The sequence below is a fragment of the Homo sapiens genome, chromosome 1 (genome assembly GCF_000001405.40).
Source record: "Homo sapiens chromosome 1, GRCh38.p14 Primary Assembly".
Taxonomy (NCBI): domain Eukaryota; kingdom Metazoa; phylum Chordata; class Mammalia; order Primates; family Hominidae; genus Homo; species Homo sapiens.
This window is the reverse complement of record NC_000001.11, coordinates 35,595,725-35,616,691: the sequence shown is the minus strand read 5'-3', so window position 1 is coordinate 35,616,691 and position 20,967 is coordinate 35,595,725. Positions and strand designations below refer to the sequence as shown.

General features: G+C 42.4%; 1 protein-coding gene across 3 annotated transcripts in view; it reads left to right on the top strand.

The window, feature by feature from the left end:
- The window catches only part of PSMB2 (proteasome 20S subunit beta 2), a 41,986-nt gene extending 24,835 nt beyond the window's left edge, over positions 1 to 17,151 (top strand). For all 3 annotated transcript variants that reach the window (NM_001199779.2, NM_002794.5, NM_001199780.2), the window contains 3 exons: positions 7,284 to 7,446; positions 11,410 to 11,459; positions 13,318 to 17,151. In NM_001199779.2, coding sequence (NP_001186708.1) covers positions 7,284 to 7,446; positions 11,410 to 11,459; positions 13,318 to 13,425 — 321 coding nt within the window. In that variant the 3' untranslated portion in view covers positions 13,426 to 17,151. The remainder of the gene's footprint in view (positions 1 to 7,283; positions 7,447 to 11,409; positions 11,460 to 13,317) is intronic.
- Positions 17,152 to 20,967: the final 3,816 nt, after the last annotated feature.

The window sequence follows — 20,967 nt, the reverse complement described above, 5'->3', positions numbered from 1 at the left end:
AAGCAGTTAAGGTGTTGGTAATCTATCATCATGGGTATTTATTGAACTACCACATAGTTTTAGATCCTATAGAGGAGTCGTAATTGTATGATATTTTAAACTTGCTGTTTTAAAACTTAAAATATTAGGTAGACATGGAGGCACCCACCTGTAGTCCCAGCTACTTGGGAAGCTAAGGTAGGATTCCCTTGAGCCCAGGAGTTTGAGGCTATAGTGTGCTGTGATTGCACCTGTGGATAGCCACTGCACTTGCTTGGGCAAAATAGCAAGACCTTGTCTCCCAAAATAAACAAACAAAATCCTTAAAATGTTATTGGTCATATAAAGATGTGATAAGTGAAATAGAGAGCAGTAGATGCTAGTATGCAAAATAGTGCATTCTGAAATATATGAGTGTGAAACTGCATTTACATACCAAATCATATTTTTACACTAATTTCCATTTTGTGGAGGCAGCATGATTTCCTGGAAAAGCATGTAGGACTTGCAGTTGGGAGGCCTGAATTCTGGACCTGACCCTTGATGCTAATTACCTGTGTGGTTTAGGGCAAGTTACTGTTTCCTCTTTGAAGTTTAGTCCCCACATTTGTAAAAGGGATACTGGGTAAACTAGTTGAGGTTTTCTATCCTATCTAAGTCTGTAAATTGCATTTTCATGAAATCCTCTCAGTGCTAAAGATGGAATTTTAGGCAGTTTTGACAATCCCCTGGACTAAAAGAAATAGCAGATGTACTGTTCCTTTCAAAGTCCAGTCTCTGTTTAGTATATTTAGAAGTCTGTTTATGAAAACACTCATCTCTAGACAAACTCATTTGTCTCATTGGTGGTTCTGCATCTTCTTCCAAATTACTGACCTCACACACTGCTTAGCATTCCAAGGTGCAACACATCAAAAAAGAAATTGCACCATTCTCCAAAGCACCTCACTCATAGCAGTGTCGTCCCATTCAATTAGAGGTGGCAAAGGCTGGCCTGGCTCCAAAGGAAGACTGTCAATTCCTCTCTTTTTCTGTGTCCACGCTTGGCAGGATGCTTCCTCACGCCCACCTCTCTCCCCCTTGCTGTGACTTTAGCTTCCGCCAGATGTCACACCGCTGCTTGTCACCGCTCAGACTCTTGTCGCTGATTTTGTTGTTTCAGTGTATTTATCACAACCATTCTCTTTAGCTGTAAAATTTATGGAATTTCACGCTCTTAGTTACTACAGTGTTTCTTTTTCATAAGAGAGGGAATATACAAGGAGTCATATGCACAAGAGTTGGAGGGAAGGGAACACTTAATCTAACTTAAGTAAAGTTTGCCTGTGTGCAGTGCACACTCGCCACCCCCAAATGTAGAAGAGTCCAAAGTGGCACTGAGCTCAGTTCTGTGGGACTCAGATGCTCAGAAGTTTTTAAGAAGTCTATTTCAGTCTCGGAAAGAAGTACATAAGAGATGTGCTTATCAGCCAATTCCCCTGTCTTCTTAAATTTGATCTTTTAGTAACCAACAAAAGTTGGACAATTTTATTGGCTCTCTGTAGCCCACTTCTTGATCTTACTATCTAGTCAAATCTGTTGATAATGCAGTCAAATCCTAAAAGTGGTGGTGGTAGTGTTGTGGTAATAGTCAATCTGCATTATTACAATATATCAGGCATTGCACTGAGCACTTTACATGTATTTATCTAAACCTTACCACAACCTTATAATGATGGGTACTTTTATTATCCTTATTATACAGATGAAGAAATCTCAAAATGACCTAAATGCACTTCACTGTGAAAATAAACTCATGTACTCATTAAAGGAGGAAAAGATACATTTGTCTAGTTTCGTCCTCACCCCACCCTCACTGCCTTCTATTAAGAGGCAAAATTTTGGTGGTACCTCATGCTAGAAGCTGAAGTTCATTCTGAATTCCCAGGCTGGTTCATTTAAAATTTTTTCTTTGTATATCAATTAGACACAACTTTAAACATGTTGGTGTTTGCATTGCAGACCATTGATGGTGATTGCCAAGACCTTTGGGTAGAGAGTATCTTAGCTAAATGTTTGGGTTCACTTGGATGAATGTTTGGATATTTAGGTTAATTCAATACTATATATAATGTTCAGTCTTAGCTTATGGTGTGGAAGAAGCCTAGTCTTGTATGTTGCAGTTCTTCCCCTTGGGGACCTCAAAACTTTGTCTTACTACTTAGACTTACTATCTAAACAATTAGAATAGTGGAGACAACCAAAGGCTAGATTATATCATGTACAGAATAGAGATTTCATTTTAAAAGATTCTTGGTAATCTTTGCGAAGGATTACTTTGTAAGAGATTCTTTGTCAAGAGGATCACTGGCAGTGCTCTCATTATTGATTAATGTTTTCATTTCCCCAGATAATTAGGCAAATCCTTAAGTATGTAACATCATGGGGAACTAAGGGAACTGATGAAAAACTGTCTAGAAAGTAGCTTTACCACTCAGAGTAGACACATTTGGAAGGGAAGAAATGACATGGTTAGGGAGGGTTGACCATGAAGTAGATATGCTCTACGTGTCTAGTACAAATGCTTGTGACACTGAACACCATTACCCTAGGGCCCCTGGAAAGAGTCCCAGGAATGAGAGAGGAGGAAACTCATTTACTGACTGCTTTTCTACCATGTGTCAGGCACTGTGCTGGGCACTAACATCCTTCCATATCCCTTTATGAAGACACATAGGAATTTCCCTCGTATCTCAGTGCCAGAAGTAGTTGGGCTTCTCCTGAGTACTTGCATTGTTTATAGAGTCTTTACTGTTTCGGGCATTACACTTATTATCCACATGCATTATCTTTTGGAATCCTCACTGCAGCAACCCTTTTGTAGTAGGGATCATCCCATGTTTTAAATGAGAAATTAAAATTCAGAGAGATTAAATGACTAACTTTTCTAAAGTCACAGCCCAACTCTTTCTTATTTATTTATGCTATTGGTCTCCTCTTTGTTCAGTTCTGAATGCCTGGCCTGTATCCTAAGCTTTTCTTTACTTAGCACCCTGTGTCTAGAGGGAGGTAGAAAGAGAAGGACCCAAGCCTAGCAAAAAGCAACAATAGATGTACATTCATGGAGATGCTGGCAGTTGACTTAAACTTGAACCACTTCTCAGAAGTAGCACTTATTGCTTTCTCACATTTGTTTAGTGACTTTTCTTTTTATTTGGTAGAAATAGGGTCTTACTCTGTTGCTAGTCAGTCTGTAGTACAGTGGGGGGATCATAGTTCACTGTATGCCGGGGCTTAAGGATCCTCCTGCCTCAGCCTTCCAAGTAGCCCCCTAACCTAGATTTTTTTTTTTTTTTCCCATAGAGACAGGGTCTTGCCATCTTGCCTACACTGGTCTTGAACTCCTAGGCTCAAGCAGTCCTCTCACCTTGGCCTCCCAAAGTGCGGGATTACAGGCATGGGCCACTGTGCTCAGCCAAGCCAGAGATCTTTGGTGGAGCATTGTCAGAAGAATTTTACAAACTGCAAGTTGTTGCACAGATGTATTGATTTAATTAGTCTAGATAACACCATTTATTTATGCTTAAGCATCTCACACATGCAAAAGTTGGTAATTCAAAGTCACACAATAATTTGTGAGTTATCTTCAATACCAGGAGTTGTAGCTTCTGAATACCAACTTTGGTAAGTATATGTGTGCGTCAGATGCCTAAGCATGAGTAAATGATACTATATAGACCAATTAAGTGATGGAGTTTGCTTCTGAAATTCTGTTGACATCCTATTTCATCTAAAATTTTCTGGTAGTGGATTTTAAATAACATTTATTGTTCTAAACAATTTAATCTCATAGTATGGACAAGATCTTCATTGAAGACAAAACATCTGGGTTCTAACAAGGCCTCTTTGAGTATCTGGGGGAATACTTAATATACCATTGCAACTTGATGAAATTGTCTTGGCTAAGTATACAGTGAGTGTTCTGGCTAGTTAGTAGAGAAGAGTAGAGATTATCCTCTTAGCAAAAAGATTTAACTTACTTTGTGATAGGTAAAAGACTGTATTATTAATTCTCTTGGGGAGGGATACCAGTTTCTCTTTGCTATTCTGCCTCTTTTCCTCCCTCTTTCTCTCTTCTAATTTTAACTGTAAGAACACCAAGGTATTCTATGTCTGCCAGATTTTGCAGTACTGTTTTCACACTTATATATAACTAATAGCATTTTTAAAATCTGTAGCTAATTTAAGCAGGTTTGTTGTTGTTTAAAGTGATAAGCTTTCAAAAAGAGACTGGGATGTAGTTATGTAGTAGGAATTTTGGTAGCATCTTTTCTTCCAGAGTTTGGGTTGTTTTACCGTTATTATTTTTTCTCATTATATTTCCTAGAAGATAGAAAGGAGAAAGATTAATTAACCCAGTTTTACATGTTAAAAAAAAAAAAACCCAGAAGCTCATAGGGGTTAAGTTTTTTGCCTAAGGTCAGCTTTACTAAGAAGGTACTCAGAATGCACAGAGAATTCCAGAGCTTGGCAGAGTGCCGCACGCTACTCATTGGGAAATACAATAGGCAGATAATTATTTTCTCAGAAGTCTTGACTGCTGGTCAACTTATTTCTCTCTGGGACTACCCACTGTCCTATCACTAAAACAGAAACTTATTTGGAGGTGAGGACTACTCTGTAATCTCCAGGCGATGTTAGGAACCCTTTCTACTTAGCACAGCTGGCTTAGAATTCCAAGTAAGTATATAATATGAGTTTCATGCTAGGCACGGTGGCTCAAGACTGTCATCCCAGCACTTTGGGAGGCCAAGGTGGAAGGATTACTTGAGCCTAGAAGTTGAAGGCCAGCCTGGGCAACATAGTGAGACCCCATCTCTCTCTCTCTCTCTCTCCTTTTTTTTTTGGAGATAGAGTCTTGCTCTATTGCCCAGGCTGGAGTGGTGCAGTAGCACTATCTCGGCTCACTGCAGCCTCTGCCTCCCAGGTTCAGGCGATTCTCATGCCTCAGCCTCCCAAGTAGCTGGGATTATAGGCTCGTGCCACCACGCATGGCTAATTTTTGTATTTTTCGTAGAGACAATATTTCACCATGTTGGCCAGGCTGGTCTCAAACTCCTAACCTCAAGTAATCTGCCCGCCTCGGCCTCCCAAAGTGCTGGGATTACAGGCATGAGCCACCGTGCCCGGCCAAGACTTCATCTCTTAAAAAAATAATAATAAATCAGCAGGGCATGGTGGTAGGTGCCTATAGTCGTAGCTGCTCAGGAGGCTGAGGTGGGAAATTCACTTGAGCCTAGGAGTTTGAGGCTGCAGCGAGCTATGATTGCACCACTGCACTCCAGCCTGGGCGACAGAACAAAAGCCTGTTACTCCCCTCCCAACCCCTCCCCCCAAAAAAAGCAAAAACCATGAGTTTTTTAAGGCTGCCAAGTGGCCGTGTTAATCAGTGTTCAAAGAATGTTAAATGCCACTTTTAGGACCATTAGCTATTACACTTCATGCTTCATAATGAGGTGTCTCACTTACTGTGCGTTTAATTAAATACATAGACAAATTTAGGGATGGGGACATATCCATGGGCAAGGCCTGCTTACTACCCGCTGAAGCAAAGGCAAGAGGAGAAACACATCCTGCAGAGAAAAAGAAAGCCATATAAAATGGAAGTCCCACCCCTGATGCCTGGGGGCATAGACAGACTGAATTTAACATGGTAAATGGCGCAGCTGGTGTAGAAAAAAAAAATCATCCATTTGGAGATGAAGAGCAACGCAGACTCAGTCATGGTTCTCTATAAAACTTATGTTTTTAGATTTGCAGGTAATACAAAGAAAGGATACCTATAAATCCAAGTTATAATTATTTTTTGTTGCTTTTTATTTGTCTCAAAATTACTTTTCAGTTAAGTCTGGTGATTTGATTTAAATATTTGAGACTTATGGCCGGGCGCAGTGGCTCACGCCTGTAATCCCAGCACTTTGGGAGGCCGAGGCGGGCGGATCACGAGGTCAGGAGTTCGAGACCAACCTGGCCAACATGATGAAGCCCTGTCTCTACTAAAAATACGAAAATTAGCCGGGTGTGGTGGAGGGCGCCTGTCATCCCAGCTACTTGGGAGGCTGAGGCAGGAGAATCGCTTGAACCTGGGAGGTAGAGGTTGCGGTGAGCCAAGATCGCACCATTGCTCTCCAGCCTGGGGGACAAGAGCCAGACTCCGTCTCAAAAAAACAAAAAAACAACAACAAAGAAAGAGACTTACTATCCCTCCCTACCTCATGAGTTGTTTCTTTTCTCTCTCTTTCTCTTTTTTTTTGAACCCAGGCTGGAGTTCAGTGGCACAGTCATGGCTCATGGTAGCCCTGACCTCCTTGGTTCAAGTGATCCTCCCACCTTAGCCTCCTGAGTAGCTGGGACCACAGGTGCGCGCCATCATGCCCGGCTAATTTTTTAGTTTTTTTGTAGAAACCAAGTCCCACTGTGTTACCTAGGCTGGTCTGAAACTCCTGGGCTCAAGCAAGCCTCCCACCTCAGCTTCCCAAAGTGCTGAGATTATACCTGTGAGCTACTGTGCCCAGCTATAAGTTGTTTCTTTAGTAGTGGGCATGCAGTTTACCATTTGGGATTGGTCCAGATGCCCAGACTGAGTTTGTTTATTTCATTTGATGTGGTTGGAGCATCTGCTTTTTTCAGTCAGTGGCCTGGCATTCTCAGAATTGTTCGTTGGTTTCAACAATTAGGAATGACAAAAGAGCACCTATGCTTTGCCTTTGCAGTGCTTGCAAAATTTTTTTTTATTTTAAATTTTTGTGCGTTCATCGTATGTGTGTATATATATATTGGGTATATGGGATATTTTGATACAGGCATACAATGTGTAATAATCACATCAGGGTAAATGGGGTATCTCTCACCTCAATCATTTCTCCTTTGTGTGACAGACAACCCAATTATACTCTTTTAGTTATTTTAAAATATACAGTTAAGCTATTATTAACTATAGTCACTCTGTTTTGCTATCAAATACTTTTTGAAGAAGTGCTTTTATACAGGTTCTCATCCATAGACTTTAAGAAGATGGCAGCTTTTTCATATACCTTAAAGTGCTCCAAATGCCCTTCCTTTCAAAGAGAACAAGCTGACGTCCCTTGACCTGTTACCATACTCCAGGTCCTCTAGATTTCCCTACATTTTTACTTTCATTGTGATTTACTCAGTTGCTGCTAATATTTTCTTTCTCATGAAGAGTCAGAATATTCTCATTTGCCATGGGAAGAGATGTTGGTGTTCTGCTTTAGTTATCACTTTGCCATATCTTTTCTTTGCAGACCCCATATCATGTGAACCTCCTCCTGGCTGGCTATGATGAGCATGAAGGGCCAGCGCTGTATTACATGGACTACCTGGCAGCCTTGGCCAAGGCCCCTTTTGCAGCCCACGGCTATGGTGCCTTCCTGACTCTCAGTATCCTCGACCGATACTACACACCGAGTAAGTATTAATACTCTAGGGAGGGAGCAGTGGCAGAGCCCTGCCCTCAGCTGCTTCCCAGGTTTGTCCACTCTTGGAGTTGGGTGGCCAGGGCTTGAATAGGATGGATCCTAAGAAGCATAACCAGGTTCCCCTCTGGAAGCTGCACTCTTCTGTCAGTCAGTAGGGTCTTCCAAAAGCTGATGTAAGTTCTATTTTTTGCCATTCAAAATGAGATAGTACATATCTCTAGAGCTGGGTTTTGTTTTGAAGGAGGATTGGAATAGATGTCACAGTGAATAAAACATTTTTATTGGGTTCTAAAATCCTTCATTTCTAAGAGTTCAAGTTTTTTCACTTATTTTGCTTTGCCTAGATTTTTGGCATCTCAGTAAAGAATGAGTGGGTAAAGCAAGTAGCTGTATATTTGTTTGGAACTTGCAAGGATGAACAGGTCCCCAGCATGACAACTGAAGGTTTCTTTGCTTAAACATCAAAGCTTTCTAAGGCTACAAATCTGAGCCTTCCCTTGGTTGTCACCTAATGGCTGCCTCCTCTTGAAAGAAAAAGCCGTCGCTCTACTTGTCCGTAAAGCGTCAGTTTGGCAAAACTTCAGATACAGGGATGCTTTTTTAAAATTTTATTTTTTAATTGACAAATAATAATTGTACATATATTCATAGAGTACATCATGATGTTTCAATACATGTAATGTAAACAGATCATGGTAGTTAGTATATTGATCATCTCAAACATTTATCATTTTGTGTTGGGAACATTTAGTATCCTCCTTCTAGCTATTTGAAACTATATATTGTTAGCCATAGTAATTTTACAGTGGTATAGAACAATAGAACTTATTCCTCTGTCTATCCATAATTTTCTATCTTTTTTTTTTTTTTGAGGCAGAGTCTCCCTCTGTCGCCCAGGCTGGAGTGCAGTGGAGTGATCTCGGCTCACAGCAACCTCCGCCTCCCAGGTTCAAGCAATTCTCGTGCCTCAGCCTCCCAAGTAGATGGGATTACAGGCGTGTGCCACCACGCCTGGCTAGTTTTTGTATTTTTTGTAGAGATGGGGTTTCACCATGTTGGCCAGGCTGGTCCAGAACTCCTGACTTCAAGTGATCCACCCGCCTTGCCCTCCCAAAGTGTTGGGATTACAGGCGTGAGCCACCGTGTCCTGCCAATTTCGTATCTTTTAACAAATGTCCCCCATCCCTTACAGAGGATTTCTCAGCCTCTAGTATCCTCTATTCTACTTTTTACTTCTATGAGATCAGCTTTTTTAGCTTCTACATATGAGTGAGAACGTGCAGTGTTTTAACTTTGTTCTTGGCTTATTTCACTTAGCAGAATACCGTCCAGTTCCATTCATGTTGAATGACAGTATTTCCTTTTTTATGGATGAATAGTATTTCATGGTGTATATATACCACATTTTCTTTATCCATTGATCTGTTCTCGGACACCTAGGTTGGTTCCATATCTTGGCTATTGTGAATAGTGTTGCAGTAAACACTGGGGTGCAATATTTCCCCAGTGATATAATGATTTCATCCAATATAATGATTTCCTTTCTTTTGGATAAATTCCCAGTAGTGGGATTGCCAGATCATATGGTAGTTCTATTTGTAGTTTTTTGAGGGACCGCCATACTGTCCTCCCTAGTGGCTATACTAGTTTGCATTCCTACCAACAGTGTATAAAGAATTTCCTTTTCTCTACATCCTTGCCAGCATTTGTTGTTTTTTGTCTTTTTGATAATAGCTATTCCTAACTGGGATGAGGTGTTACCTCATTGTGGTTTTGATTTGCATTTCTGTGATGATTAGTGATGTTGAGAATTTTTTCCATATATTTGTTGGCCATTTGTATGTCTTTTGAAATGTCTGTTGAGATGATATGCCCATTTTTTAATGAATTTTTGTTCTCTATTGAGATATTTCGGTTCCTTATATTTTCTGGATATTAACTCCCTGTTGGATGAGTAGTTTGCATGTATTTTCTCCCATTCTGTAGGTTGCCTTTTCACTCTTGTTTCCTTTGCTGTGCAGAAGCATTTTAGTTTGATGTAATCCTGTTTGTTTATTTTTGCTTTTGTTGCCTGTGTTCATGAGATTATTCATAAAATCTTTTTCCAGATCAGTGTCCTGAGGCTTTTTCCCTGTGTTTTCTTCTAGTTTCTGGTCTTAAATTGAGGTCTTTGATCCATTTTGAGTTGAATTTTGTATAGGGTAAGAGGTGAGGGTCTGGTTTCATTCTTCTGTGTATGGATATCCAGTTTTTCTAGCACCATTTATTGAAGAGACAGACTGTCCTTTCCCCAATGAGTGTTCTTGGTACCTTCATCAAAAGTCAAATGTAGATATGTGGCTTAATTTCTTAATTTCTCTATTCTGTTTAATTGGTCTATGTGTCTATTTTTATGCCAGTAGCATACTGTTTTGGTTACTACAACTTTGTGATATATTTTGAAGTCTGGTAGTGGTATCAACTACCAGATTTGTTCTTTTTGTTCAGGATTGCTTTAGCTATTCAGAGTCTTTTGTGGTTCCTTACAAATCTTAGGATTTTTTTCCATAATTCTGTGAGGCATGTCATTGGCATTTTGATAGGGATTGCATTGAATATATAAATTTCTTTGGGTAGTGTTGTCATCTTCATAATATTAATTCTTCTGATCCATGAGCATGAGATGTATTTCCATTCGCTTGTATCCTCTTCAGCTTATTTCATCAGTGTTTTATAGTTTTCGTTATAGAGGTCTTTCATCTCCTTGGTTAAATTTATTCCTAGGTATTTTATTTTCTTTGATTTTTGTGTCTATTGTAAATGGGATTGCCTTCTTGATTTCTTTTTCAGCTAGTTTGTGTATAGAAATACTGATTTTTGTATATTAATTTTGTATCCTGCAACTTTATGGAATTCATTTATCAGATGTGAGAGTTTTCTGGTGGGGTCTTTAGGTTTTTCTATATAGAAGATCATGTCATCTGCAAATAGGGACATTTGACTTCCTGCTTTCCAATTGGGGTACTCTATTTCCTCCCCTTGCCTAAGTGCTCTGGTTAGGACTTCCTAGACACAGGGATGCTTTTGTGCTAAGTTCCATCTTCTGACCCCAGTCCTAACCTCGACTTTAGCCTCTGTGGGCAGTGGGTACTTTGGAATTCTTAGCTTTTACAGACTATAGATGAAGCACAGATAACCACTTCTCTCCTTACATTCCATTCTTCACTGTCAGTATCGTAAGAATCTGGCATGTTCATTCTTTTTTGGTGCTGCCCTCTCGCTCAACCTTAGCCACGCTAGAGCTCCAGGCCACATCCTGAAAAGAATTAGCCTGGCCTCCCAGTGACTTTCTTGATTTGGCATCTGTCAGTAATACAGCTGATTTGCCCACCAAAATAACTACTAGCCACCCCTGAAGCCTGAGTGCATAACATGTCGTCCCAGTTTGCCACGCCCACAGACAGTTCCTTTGGCTCCTATTTGGGGAGAGTCTCAGCCCCATCCTATGAATTCTCTTCCCATTGTTAAACAGAGACCCAGCTGGGAAAACAAGGCTGAAATTCTGACCCCATCGTCTCTTTCCCTGATTTGCAGCTGACTGGGGCAGATGGAATTGATTCAAACCCTGGACTAAGGGGGAGTGAAAGGGGTGGGTTATGATAAAGAGAGACAGGCTGCTGGACTTCTTCAGAGGTGGGCCCTGGCCAGGGGAGGCAGAATTCCTTCATGCTCACCCTTTACTGTAGCAAATCAATTTGCAATGGCTTATAGCTGCTGGAGCACTGGGTCTGGGGCCCCCCCAGCTGCATGTGGAGTAAGTTGATTGCAGGCTAGAAGGCAAAGCATTTTTTGCCTTTTACGTTTGTGTGGCACTGAGACCTGAAGAAGCCAGATTTGGAACTTAATCAAAAGCTTCTGAGAGTTGGATATAATGACAGCACCGGAAGTATTTGGTCTCTGTGTTCTCTTTCAGCTATCTCACGTGAGAGGGCAGTGGAACTCCTTAGGAAATGTCTGGAGGAGGTGAGTAGTTCCCATAGGATCCTGAAAGGAATGTTTGTCTCTCTGTTTGCCAGTGTTGTTCCTGTTCCTCAGTTATATTTTTTCAGATTTTTGCCAGAAGGTGTAATACATACCCACTAACCAGATGTGAAGTTGCTACCAGGGATAGAGTTTGGTGTGGATAGCAAGCTCACTTTTCTCTCACAGATTACCTCCTCAATGTCAGTTTTATAATTTAATTCTTTCTGGTTTATCCAAACCAGTGGTTCTCAAATTTTAGTGTGTGTAAGTATCACCTGGGAAACCTGTTAAACAGATTGCCATCTCTGCCCCAACCCTCAATTCTGAGTCCACTGTTCTGAGGTACAAACTGGGAAGCTCTGCTTTAACTGGCAGTCCCAGGTGATTTTCCTACAGGTGGTAACTGAGGCTGTACTTGAAGAACTTCTGCTCTAGACTTTATTTTTTTATTTGAGACGGAGTTTCGCTTTTGTTGCCCAGGCTGGAGTGCAGTGGCACGATTTCAGCTCACTGCAACCTCCGCCTCTGGGTTCAAGCAATTCTCTTGCCTTAGCCTCCCGAGTAGCTGGGATTACAGTTGCCCACCACCATGCCCGGCTAGTTTTTTGTATTTTTAGTAGAGACAGGGTTTCACCATGTTGGCCAGGCTGGTCTTGAACTCCTGACCTCAGGTGATCCGCCTGCCTCGGCCTCCCAAAGTGCTGGGATTACAGGCATGAGCCACCACGCCCATCCCTGCCCTAGACTTTATACCTGCTCTGTTCTTGTGCCACCTGTAATTGCCATACTGCCTGCTCCCTTAATAGTGCTCGAGTCTTTGTAATCTGTGAGAAAAAGCCTCCCCTAAGAATTCAGGAGGACCATAGAAAGCAACTAGGAAGCTTTGGGCAGAAGGGGAGAGTAGACTTTGGCTTGCGAGGACAGGATTACAGAACACACCCTTTCTAACACTACTCCTTAGAGTCTAAGGCTTTGGGTATAGATGGAGAATGGGGGAATGGGGAGGTCAAAAACCAGCCACATTAGTTTTTTTCATTCTTTTACTGTTCCTGTGGCTTAAGGATGAACTTGACCTCGTGGTTTAGTAAGAGAGTAGGAAGATAAGAGCAGGAGCGTTGGGAGTAATGTCAGTTTGCTTCTTACACAAACCTTTTGTTTTCAGTCCACAGTGCCCACCCCACCCCCCGCTTTTTTTTTTTTTTTTTAAGAGATGGATCTCACTTTGTTGCCCAGGCTGGAGTGGAGTGCAGTGGCACCATCATAGCTCACTGCAGCCTGGATTTCTGGAACTCAAGCGATCCTCCCAAGTAGCTGAGACTACAGACAGGCACCACCATGCCCAGCTCATTTTATTTTTAAGAGATGGGGTCTTGCTATGTTACCTAGGCTGGTCTTGAACTCCTGGGCTCAAGATATTCTTCCACCTCAACCTCCCAATTACAGGCCTGAGCCACAGCTCCTGGCCTCTGCTTCGTTCTGAGGACAATCACTCTTTGTTAGCTTATTATCTTGAGACATTTTAAGAGAGACGTCTGTGTTTACCAGACTGATGGGTAACAGACTATGGGGAACAGAACACTGGATTGTCTCATTCTTTCGTCAGCTGACTGACCAGAGACAGGCTCTTAGTTGCACCTCCCAGTTCAGCCTCCCTGCCTCCCAGTCATCCTCCAGCTGCTGTTTGGGTACCCTCTACCACTAGAGTACTAGTGCCCTACTGCCAACTGCCTCCAGTAGAATATCAGTTCCACAAAAGCAGGGATTTTTGTTTGCTTGTATCCCCAGTGTCTAGAACAGAGCCTGGCACATAGAACTTAGTAATCATTTGTTGACTGATTTCCTCCATGTCTCTCTGCAGCTCCAGAAACGCTTCATCCTGAATCTGCCAACCTTCAGTGTTCGAATCATTGACAAAAATGGCATCCATGACCTGGATAACATTTCCTTCCCCAAACAGGGCTCCTAACATCATGTCCTCCCTCCCACTTGCCAGGGAACTTTTTTTTGATGGGCTCCTTTATTTTTTTCTACTCTTTTCAGGCGCACTCTTGATAAATGGTTAATTCAGAATAAAGGTGACTATGGATATAATTGAGCCCTCTGGTCCAGGTCTCAGTTTACCTAATATTACCTCAGAAAGGATATGGAGGGAAGATGATCTTTTTGCCAGGTCTGACTTTTCTTCCTGCTCCGCCCTCCATTAACGCTCAGTACCCTTTAGCAGCTGACGGCCCCACGTTCTACTCCATGCTTGGCTTCCTTTCCAACTAGCTCTTTCATATATTTTACTTGCTAGTATCTCCATTCTCTCTAAAGTAGTGGTTCTTTTTGCCCTTAAACTTAAATTTTTAAATTAATTAACCTGAATTAATAATACATGCACTTAATGTAACATGCAAACAGTACAAAAACATGTAGTGAAAAATATTTCTTCCAGAGCTGGGTGTGGTGGCTCATACCTGTAATCCCAGCACTTTGGGAGGCCGAGGCGGGCGGATCACGAGGTCAAGAGAGCGAGACCATCCTGACCAACATGGTAAAACCCCGTCTCTACTAAAAATACAAAAATTAGCTGGGCGTGGTGGCACGCACCCCTAGTCCCAGCTACTGGGGAGGCTGAGACAGGAGAATCGGTCGAACCCGGGAGGCAGAGGTTGCAGTGAGCCTAGATCGCGCCACTGTACTCCAGCCTGGCAACAGAGTGAGACTCCGTCTCAAAAAAAGAAGGAAAAATGTTTCTTCCATCCCTATAATCCAGTCATCTGCTTCCTGCTTCCCTTCCTGGAGGAAACTTCAGCTACTAATTTCTTATGTTTTTTAAGAGATATTCTGTTACTGTGTAAAGTATACATACATACAGACACATGCCCCCTTTAAATTTTTTAGATTTATTTATTTATTTAGAGACAGGGTCTCACTCTAGCCCAGGCTGGAGTGCTGTGGCGTAATCTTGGCTCACTGCAACCTCCGCCTCCCGGGCCCAAGTGATCCTCCCATCTCAGCCTCCTGAGTAGCTAGGATTACAGGCGCACACCACCAATGCCCAGCTAGTTTTTGTGTTTTTCATAGAGACAGGGTCTCACCATGTCATTCAGGTTGGTCTTGAACTCCTGGGCTCAAGCAGTCTGCCTGCCTTGGCTTCCCAGTGCTGGGATTACAGGCGTGAGCCACCGTGCCCGGCTAAAAAGTATTTTTAAGTTCTGCATATTGCTTATTTCACTTAACACTATATTAGAGATTGTTTTATATCAATACATATAGATATGCTTATTCTTGTTGACAGTTGCATAATTTTCCATTAAATTGATGTATCATGGGCAGTTAACCAGTTACTCGTTTTACTCTTAGCATAACTTTAGGGAACAATGTGGATGTTTTGTGGTTAAAGCTATTAAAACAGTGGTTCTTGACCAGATGTGTGTTTCAGAATGTTCATCTCACATTTCCAGTTGCTACTGATGCTGCTGGTCTAGGAACCACATATCAAAACCATTTGGTCTCCGACTAAGATAAACCCTACTTTATCCAATTCTGTGCTCCTCTTAATATCATATACAGATAGGTTTTTGTTTTGTCTGTGATTAAATGTATCATCTAAGATACTACCTACTGATCATAACGTTCATATTAAAGTATTGGGTTAACATTAGATTTGGGTGTCTTATACACTATTTAATACGCCAATGATAAATGCCTTACACCATAAGAAGAAAGCTAATCATTGAGTAAATGGGAGAAAAGAGATGATTCACGTCACTACAGTTGATTCAACCTCCAACACCACCATGAATATGCATAGGTTTGAGCTTTTAGCTAGATTCCTGAGTGTAAGGCATCTATTTTAAAAGTGCCACAGGTTGGCCGGGTGCGGTGGCTCATGCCTGTAATCCCAGCACTTTGGCCGCCCGCCGAGGCGGGCGGATCACCTGAGGTCAGGAGTTCAAGACCAGCCTGGCCAACATGGTGAAACCCCATCTCTACTAAAAAAATATATAACAATTAGCCAGGCGTGGTGGCACACGCCTGTAAACCCAACTACTTGGGAGGCTGAGGCAGGAGAATTGCTTGAGCCCGGGAGAGGGAGGTTGCAGTGAGCCGAGATCATGCCACTGCACTCCAGCCTGGCTGACAGAGCAAGACTCTGTCTCAAAAAAAAAAAAAAAAAAAAAAAAAAAGCGCCACAGATGATTCTGACGCCCTACCCAGTGGAGTGCTGCTACTAAAGCACAGACTATCCTGCTACATGATTTTCCCATCTGTACAATGACTGAAATAGCACCTATTCTATGTGGTAGATATGAGAATTCCATGAAGTAATATAGGTAAACATTTAGTTCAGGGCTTGGCATGTGGTAAGTGCTCAGTAAGTGTATAATGATTGGTAAACTTGTTATTCTGCATTCAGGCCTCACCAGGGATGACATACGGTTCTCTGCCTTTGAATGTAAGTGTCCCCAGGGCAATCTCAGGCAAGCCTGCAAACCCATCCTGACTCTCAGTGTTTTTTTGCCAATCTGGATCTCTTTCCTGAGCTCCAAATCAACTCATTCCTAGATAGCTCACCCTCCAGATTTAGGGACATCGAACTCAGTATGTCTAAAGCTGAGCCTTACCATCTGCCCCTCTCCAAACCGCCTCTATGACATTCTGTCTTAGAGAATTAGAGCTACCTGGTTTCCCAAGTGCCCAAGTCAGAAACCCAGGCATCATTTATTTTTAATAAATGTTTTATTTTGGAATAAATTTGGTTTTACAGAAAAGTTGCAAAGATAATATGGTGTCCTTATACCCCTTATTCAGTTTCTGTAATGTTAACATCTTCTATATACCACAGTATGTTTGTCAAAACTGAGAAACCAACATTGGTTGGTGTATTAGTATTACTAAGCTCCAGGCTTTATTCAGATTTTACCAGTTTTTCCACTAATTTTCTTCTGTTCTAGGATATAATCCAAGATACAACATTGCATTTAGCTGGGCATCATTTTTATGCCATTCTTTATCTCCTGTCTCTACATGGCCACCAAGTTCTGGCATTTCTACATCCTAAATCTTTTAATTTTATTATAATTTTTTATTGTTGTTTTTCAGAGACAGGGTCTTGCTCCATCACCTAGGCTGGAGTACAGTGGCACGATCGTAGCTTACTGCAGTAAGTTCACTTGAACTCCTGGGCTCAAGTGAACCTCTTACCCCAGCCTCCCAACTAGCTGGGACTAGAGGGGTGCACCACTGCACCCAGCTAATTTTGTCAAAATTTTTTGTAGAGACAGGGTCTCGCCATGTTGCCTAGGCTGGTCTCGAACTCTTGGCCTCAAGTGATCCTCCCACCTTGGTCTGCCAAAGCACTGGGATTACAGATGTGAGCCACTGCACCCAGCCTAATCTTTATAAATCTCCATCCCCATTACTCTGGTTCACCCCCTATCGTTTCTTAGACTATTTAACAGCCTCCTAACTTCACTCTACTTTTAATCTCTTCCCTCTCCAGGTCTTTCTCCATATTTTAAAAAACTAGTTTCACCATCCATTCCTCTCTGCCCTTAAAACTTTCTGGTGGTTTTCCATGGCTTAAGAGAATAAAGCCCAATTCTTTGATTTGACATGCTAGGCATTCCATAATCCTCTCCGAACCTAACTCCCCACTTCCTTTCCCTCCTTTACACCTCATAAAGCCTGTGTTCCAACTAAATTTACATGGCCTCGTCATTCACTCCTGACTTCACACCTATATATACCTACTATAAGAAGGGTAAGCATTGCTTTGTGGAACTTTTCTTACAGAGGGATGTGTGTGTGGAGTCATGATGTAGTGTGTTCTGGTAACTTCTGTTTTCTTCCGCTGGATTTTAGTTTTTAAAATGCCAGCTGTGTCCTAAATCAATTTCCTGAAGTTTAAAAAACACTGGGAATGTACCCATTATTTAACACTCCTGGCCAAACACTGTTCAGAATGGAGTTCTGATTAGCTCCCATCTGCTTTCAGGTGATTAATACACAGAAAAACAAATTATTCCTTCCCAGGCTCGGGGTGGGAGGGGGGATAGGTTGGAGAAGAGAGCAGCTGTTTTGCCTCAGGGTAGGGAAGCTAAACCCTACTAGAGAGGGTATGGGAAGGCAGAAACCTTTGAGAGATGGAAGAGGCCACTGAAATGACCCAAGAGCTTGGTCTTGCTAGCTGAGCAACTGCTAGGTCTGCCCTGCCTGGAGCCCAGAGTCCTTTCACTTCTGCTCCCCTCGGCCTTTTGACCAAAGCAGCAGCAGTGCCCAAGCAAGAGAAAGAGGTGCATTCTTGGATTCTCTCTAAATGTCTGCTGCTTGCTTAGTCCAGTGTGTAAATTATGTGTTAGTGTGTTTGGGAGGAGAAACCTGCAACTTGCCTTCACTTACTTTCCTTCATGGGAGGGAATGTTTTCAAAGACTGCACTTTTCATATTTATTCTGGAACACTATGATCCTTTAAGAGAAAGTAGGAAAGTCTTTAAACTCCAAATTGGAATGCTTACCCAGTCTAAACACTCTCCGTTTAATTCACAGATACTTGTTTGCAAAAAAGAAGCCATGTAAACAATCTGTGTATACTTTATTTTTAATTTTTAATTTAATTTTATTATTATTATTATTTTTAGACAGAATCTTGCTCTGTCACTCAGGCTGGAGTGCAATGGCACGATCTCGGCTCACTGTAGCCTCTGCCTCCTGGGTTCAAGCAATTCTTCTGCCTCAGCCTTCTGAGTAGCTGGGATTACAGGCGTGCACCACCACACCCGGCTAATTTTTATATTTTTGTAGAGACAGGGTTTCACCATGTTGACTAGGATGGTCTTGGAACCCCTGACCTCAAATGATCTGTCTGCCTCGGCTTCCCAAAGTGCTGAGATTACAGGCGCGAGCCACTGCACCCAGCCCCCGTGTAAACTTTATTCATCATCTACTTTTCCTTAGGGCTAGACCCAGTTAGAGGCTAAAACGTGATTTATTTTGCTGTGGGGAAAAGAAAAACAACTTAATGGGAAGAATCAAATGCTGAGACCTCATTAGGAGCTTCTTAGGCCACTTAGTGTCCATACCATACTGCTTCCTCTGCACTGTTAACTATCCTGACCATATGCTGGCTTAGCAGAGCCTTGGGGCACAAGGGCCTGGGAGGACCTGCTTCCCCTTGCTGGGGTCAGGCCTGTGAGCCCTTCTGTAGACGGCCATGTGATGCAGTGGAAATGAAGGGAGGGTCGGATCACACACGTATGCGTGATCACTTGCTTAGTGACTTTGGGCAAGTTGCTTTGATCTACAACTTTCTTGTTTCTAAAATAGGACTTGTTGAGGACTACATGATCCTTCCTTAGGGAAAGTTGTCCAGCCCCTGAAAAGTTTTTGATAAACTAATTTCTTCTGGGTATTTATAACCTTTTATTGATTTGTTACTATATTCCAGGCATTATATAGAAGCGTTGTATATCTTATTTAATCCCCTCAACTTCCCATGGTCAAAGATAATTTTAGAGGTAGGATGTCTCTTGCCAGGCCCTAGGCTTCAGTTAAAGCAGAGCATACTTCAGCCTTCCCCCACATTCCTTTCTCTTCCTTTCTGCAGAAAGGATTGAATAACCCAGATAGGGATACTTGGGGAAGGCACTGAGCTCTTTGTTAAAATGAGGAAAAGCAAATATTAGGTGTTAAAGTCATGCCAGCCCCAAATGGAGACTTTCTTCTTGATGTATTCAGAAGGACTGATTGAAAGGGGCTGGAGAAAGGCAGAACTTCCTCCCGCATGATTGAGAATTCTTTAGTGCCACATCTGGATACTGCCTCAAGGTATCAGCACCACCTAACATCCTGCTGGGGGGGGGTACATACCAGGGGACCTGAAGCTTAGAGTGGCACACCAAGTGAGTGGCAGGGCCAGGGTTAGAACATATTGAGGGTCCCCATGCATTTAGCATGAGGGACAGGCCCCCAGAGGAGGCCCCACTGTGTCTGGAGAGCTTTCACTGGACACATGGGGACGTTGAGGCATTGCAGCTTCTTGGGAAAAGAAGTCACATCTTTGGACCCTTATCCTGAGAAATGATGCCTAGACCCTGTGTTTCTAGCACAATCTTCACTTGCAAAGCACCCCATCTCTCCCTGACAGCACACTTGCAAAGACACGGGGACAGCAATCCAGGCAAACAACAGTGAATACAATGACCCTGGGGCATAAAACAAAGTGGTAGTTTGAGGAACAGAAAGGAAACCAATGTGGCTGGAGCAAAGTGAGTGATGAAGAGAGTAGTATAAGATGAGGCTAGAGAATCAGGCAAAGTTAGATCATTGCTGGACCTGACTTTGAAGGTGTACCAGAGAAAATAGACCGGTTGGGAGACTACTATAGCAGTCCAGAGAACTAGGGTGTTGGCAGAGAAGAAAGAAGATGGACTCAGAATCCATAGGTCTTTCTGAAGGATTGAGTGTAGAGAAAGAACTAAATAGGACTCCCCAGTTTCTGACTTGAGCAACTGGGTAGAAGGTGGTGTCATCTACTGTGGTGGGATGGTCTGGAAGAGGTCACGATTTCAGTACTTGAGTCATGTGCTCCATTTTGGACATGAGTTTTGAGATGCCTACTAGCCAAGCTGGCAGACAGTTGTACCTCCAAGTCTGGAGTTCAGGCAGCAGCCTGGGCTGAAGATAAACATTCAGGAATTGGCAGTATTGAGATATTGAAAGACATGGGATTGAATGAGACCAATCTAAGGAGACAGTATAGAGAGGGACCTGAGGAAAGCCATCATTTAGAGGTCAAGTAGAGAAGTAGCCAGCTAAGTAGGCAGAATTGGGACCAGTGAGGTCATAGGAAACCAGAAGTTAGGAGCCACAGAGGAAAAGAGTTGCAGAAAAGAGCAAGTAGTCAGCCATATCCATTGACTGCTGCTGTTAAATCCAGAAAAAAGGCCTTGAGATTTGACATTGTGATGACCATGCTGAGTGGACTTCAGCCGACTGGTCGGGAAAAAAGCAGATTGAAGAGGAAATTGGAGGTGAAGAAATGGAGGTATAGGTATAGCAATCTTTCAAGAACTTTAACTGCAAAGGAAATAAAGAAATGGGGAAAGGATTTATGTTTTGTAAGGTAAGAGATCCTAGAACATTTGTACTCTGTGGGGTGATCCAGTAATCATTCTGTAGAGAGGGAGACACTGACGATACAGGACAGAAAAGATGACTGAAGAGTGTAATCCTCAAGACGAGAGTTGGATGAGCGTTGGCCTGATAGACACACACCGTCACCAGTGTTCCGACTGACACCTACACACCACCACCAACGGGCATGGTAACAAATCCACCACCAACGGGCATGGTAACAGCCAAACTGACACATACACCCACCAGCCCACCAAGTCACAGGAATACACATACAGTATTCACTTGACACACACACACACAGGCACAGCAACTAATAGCCACACTGACATGCCAGATAGACCAACATCTGTACCTCCTCTCACACAGAGGGGCCCCCAGTTCC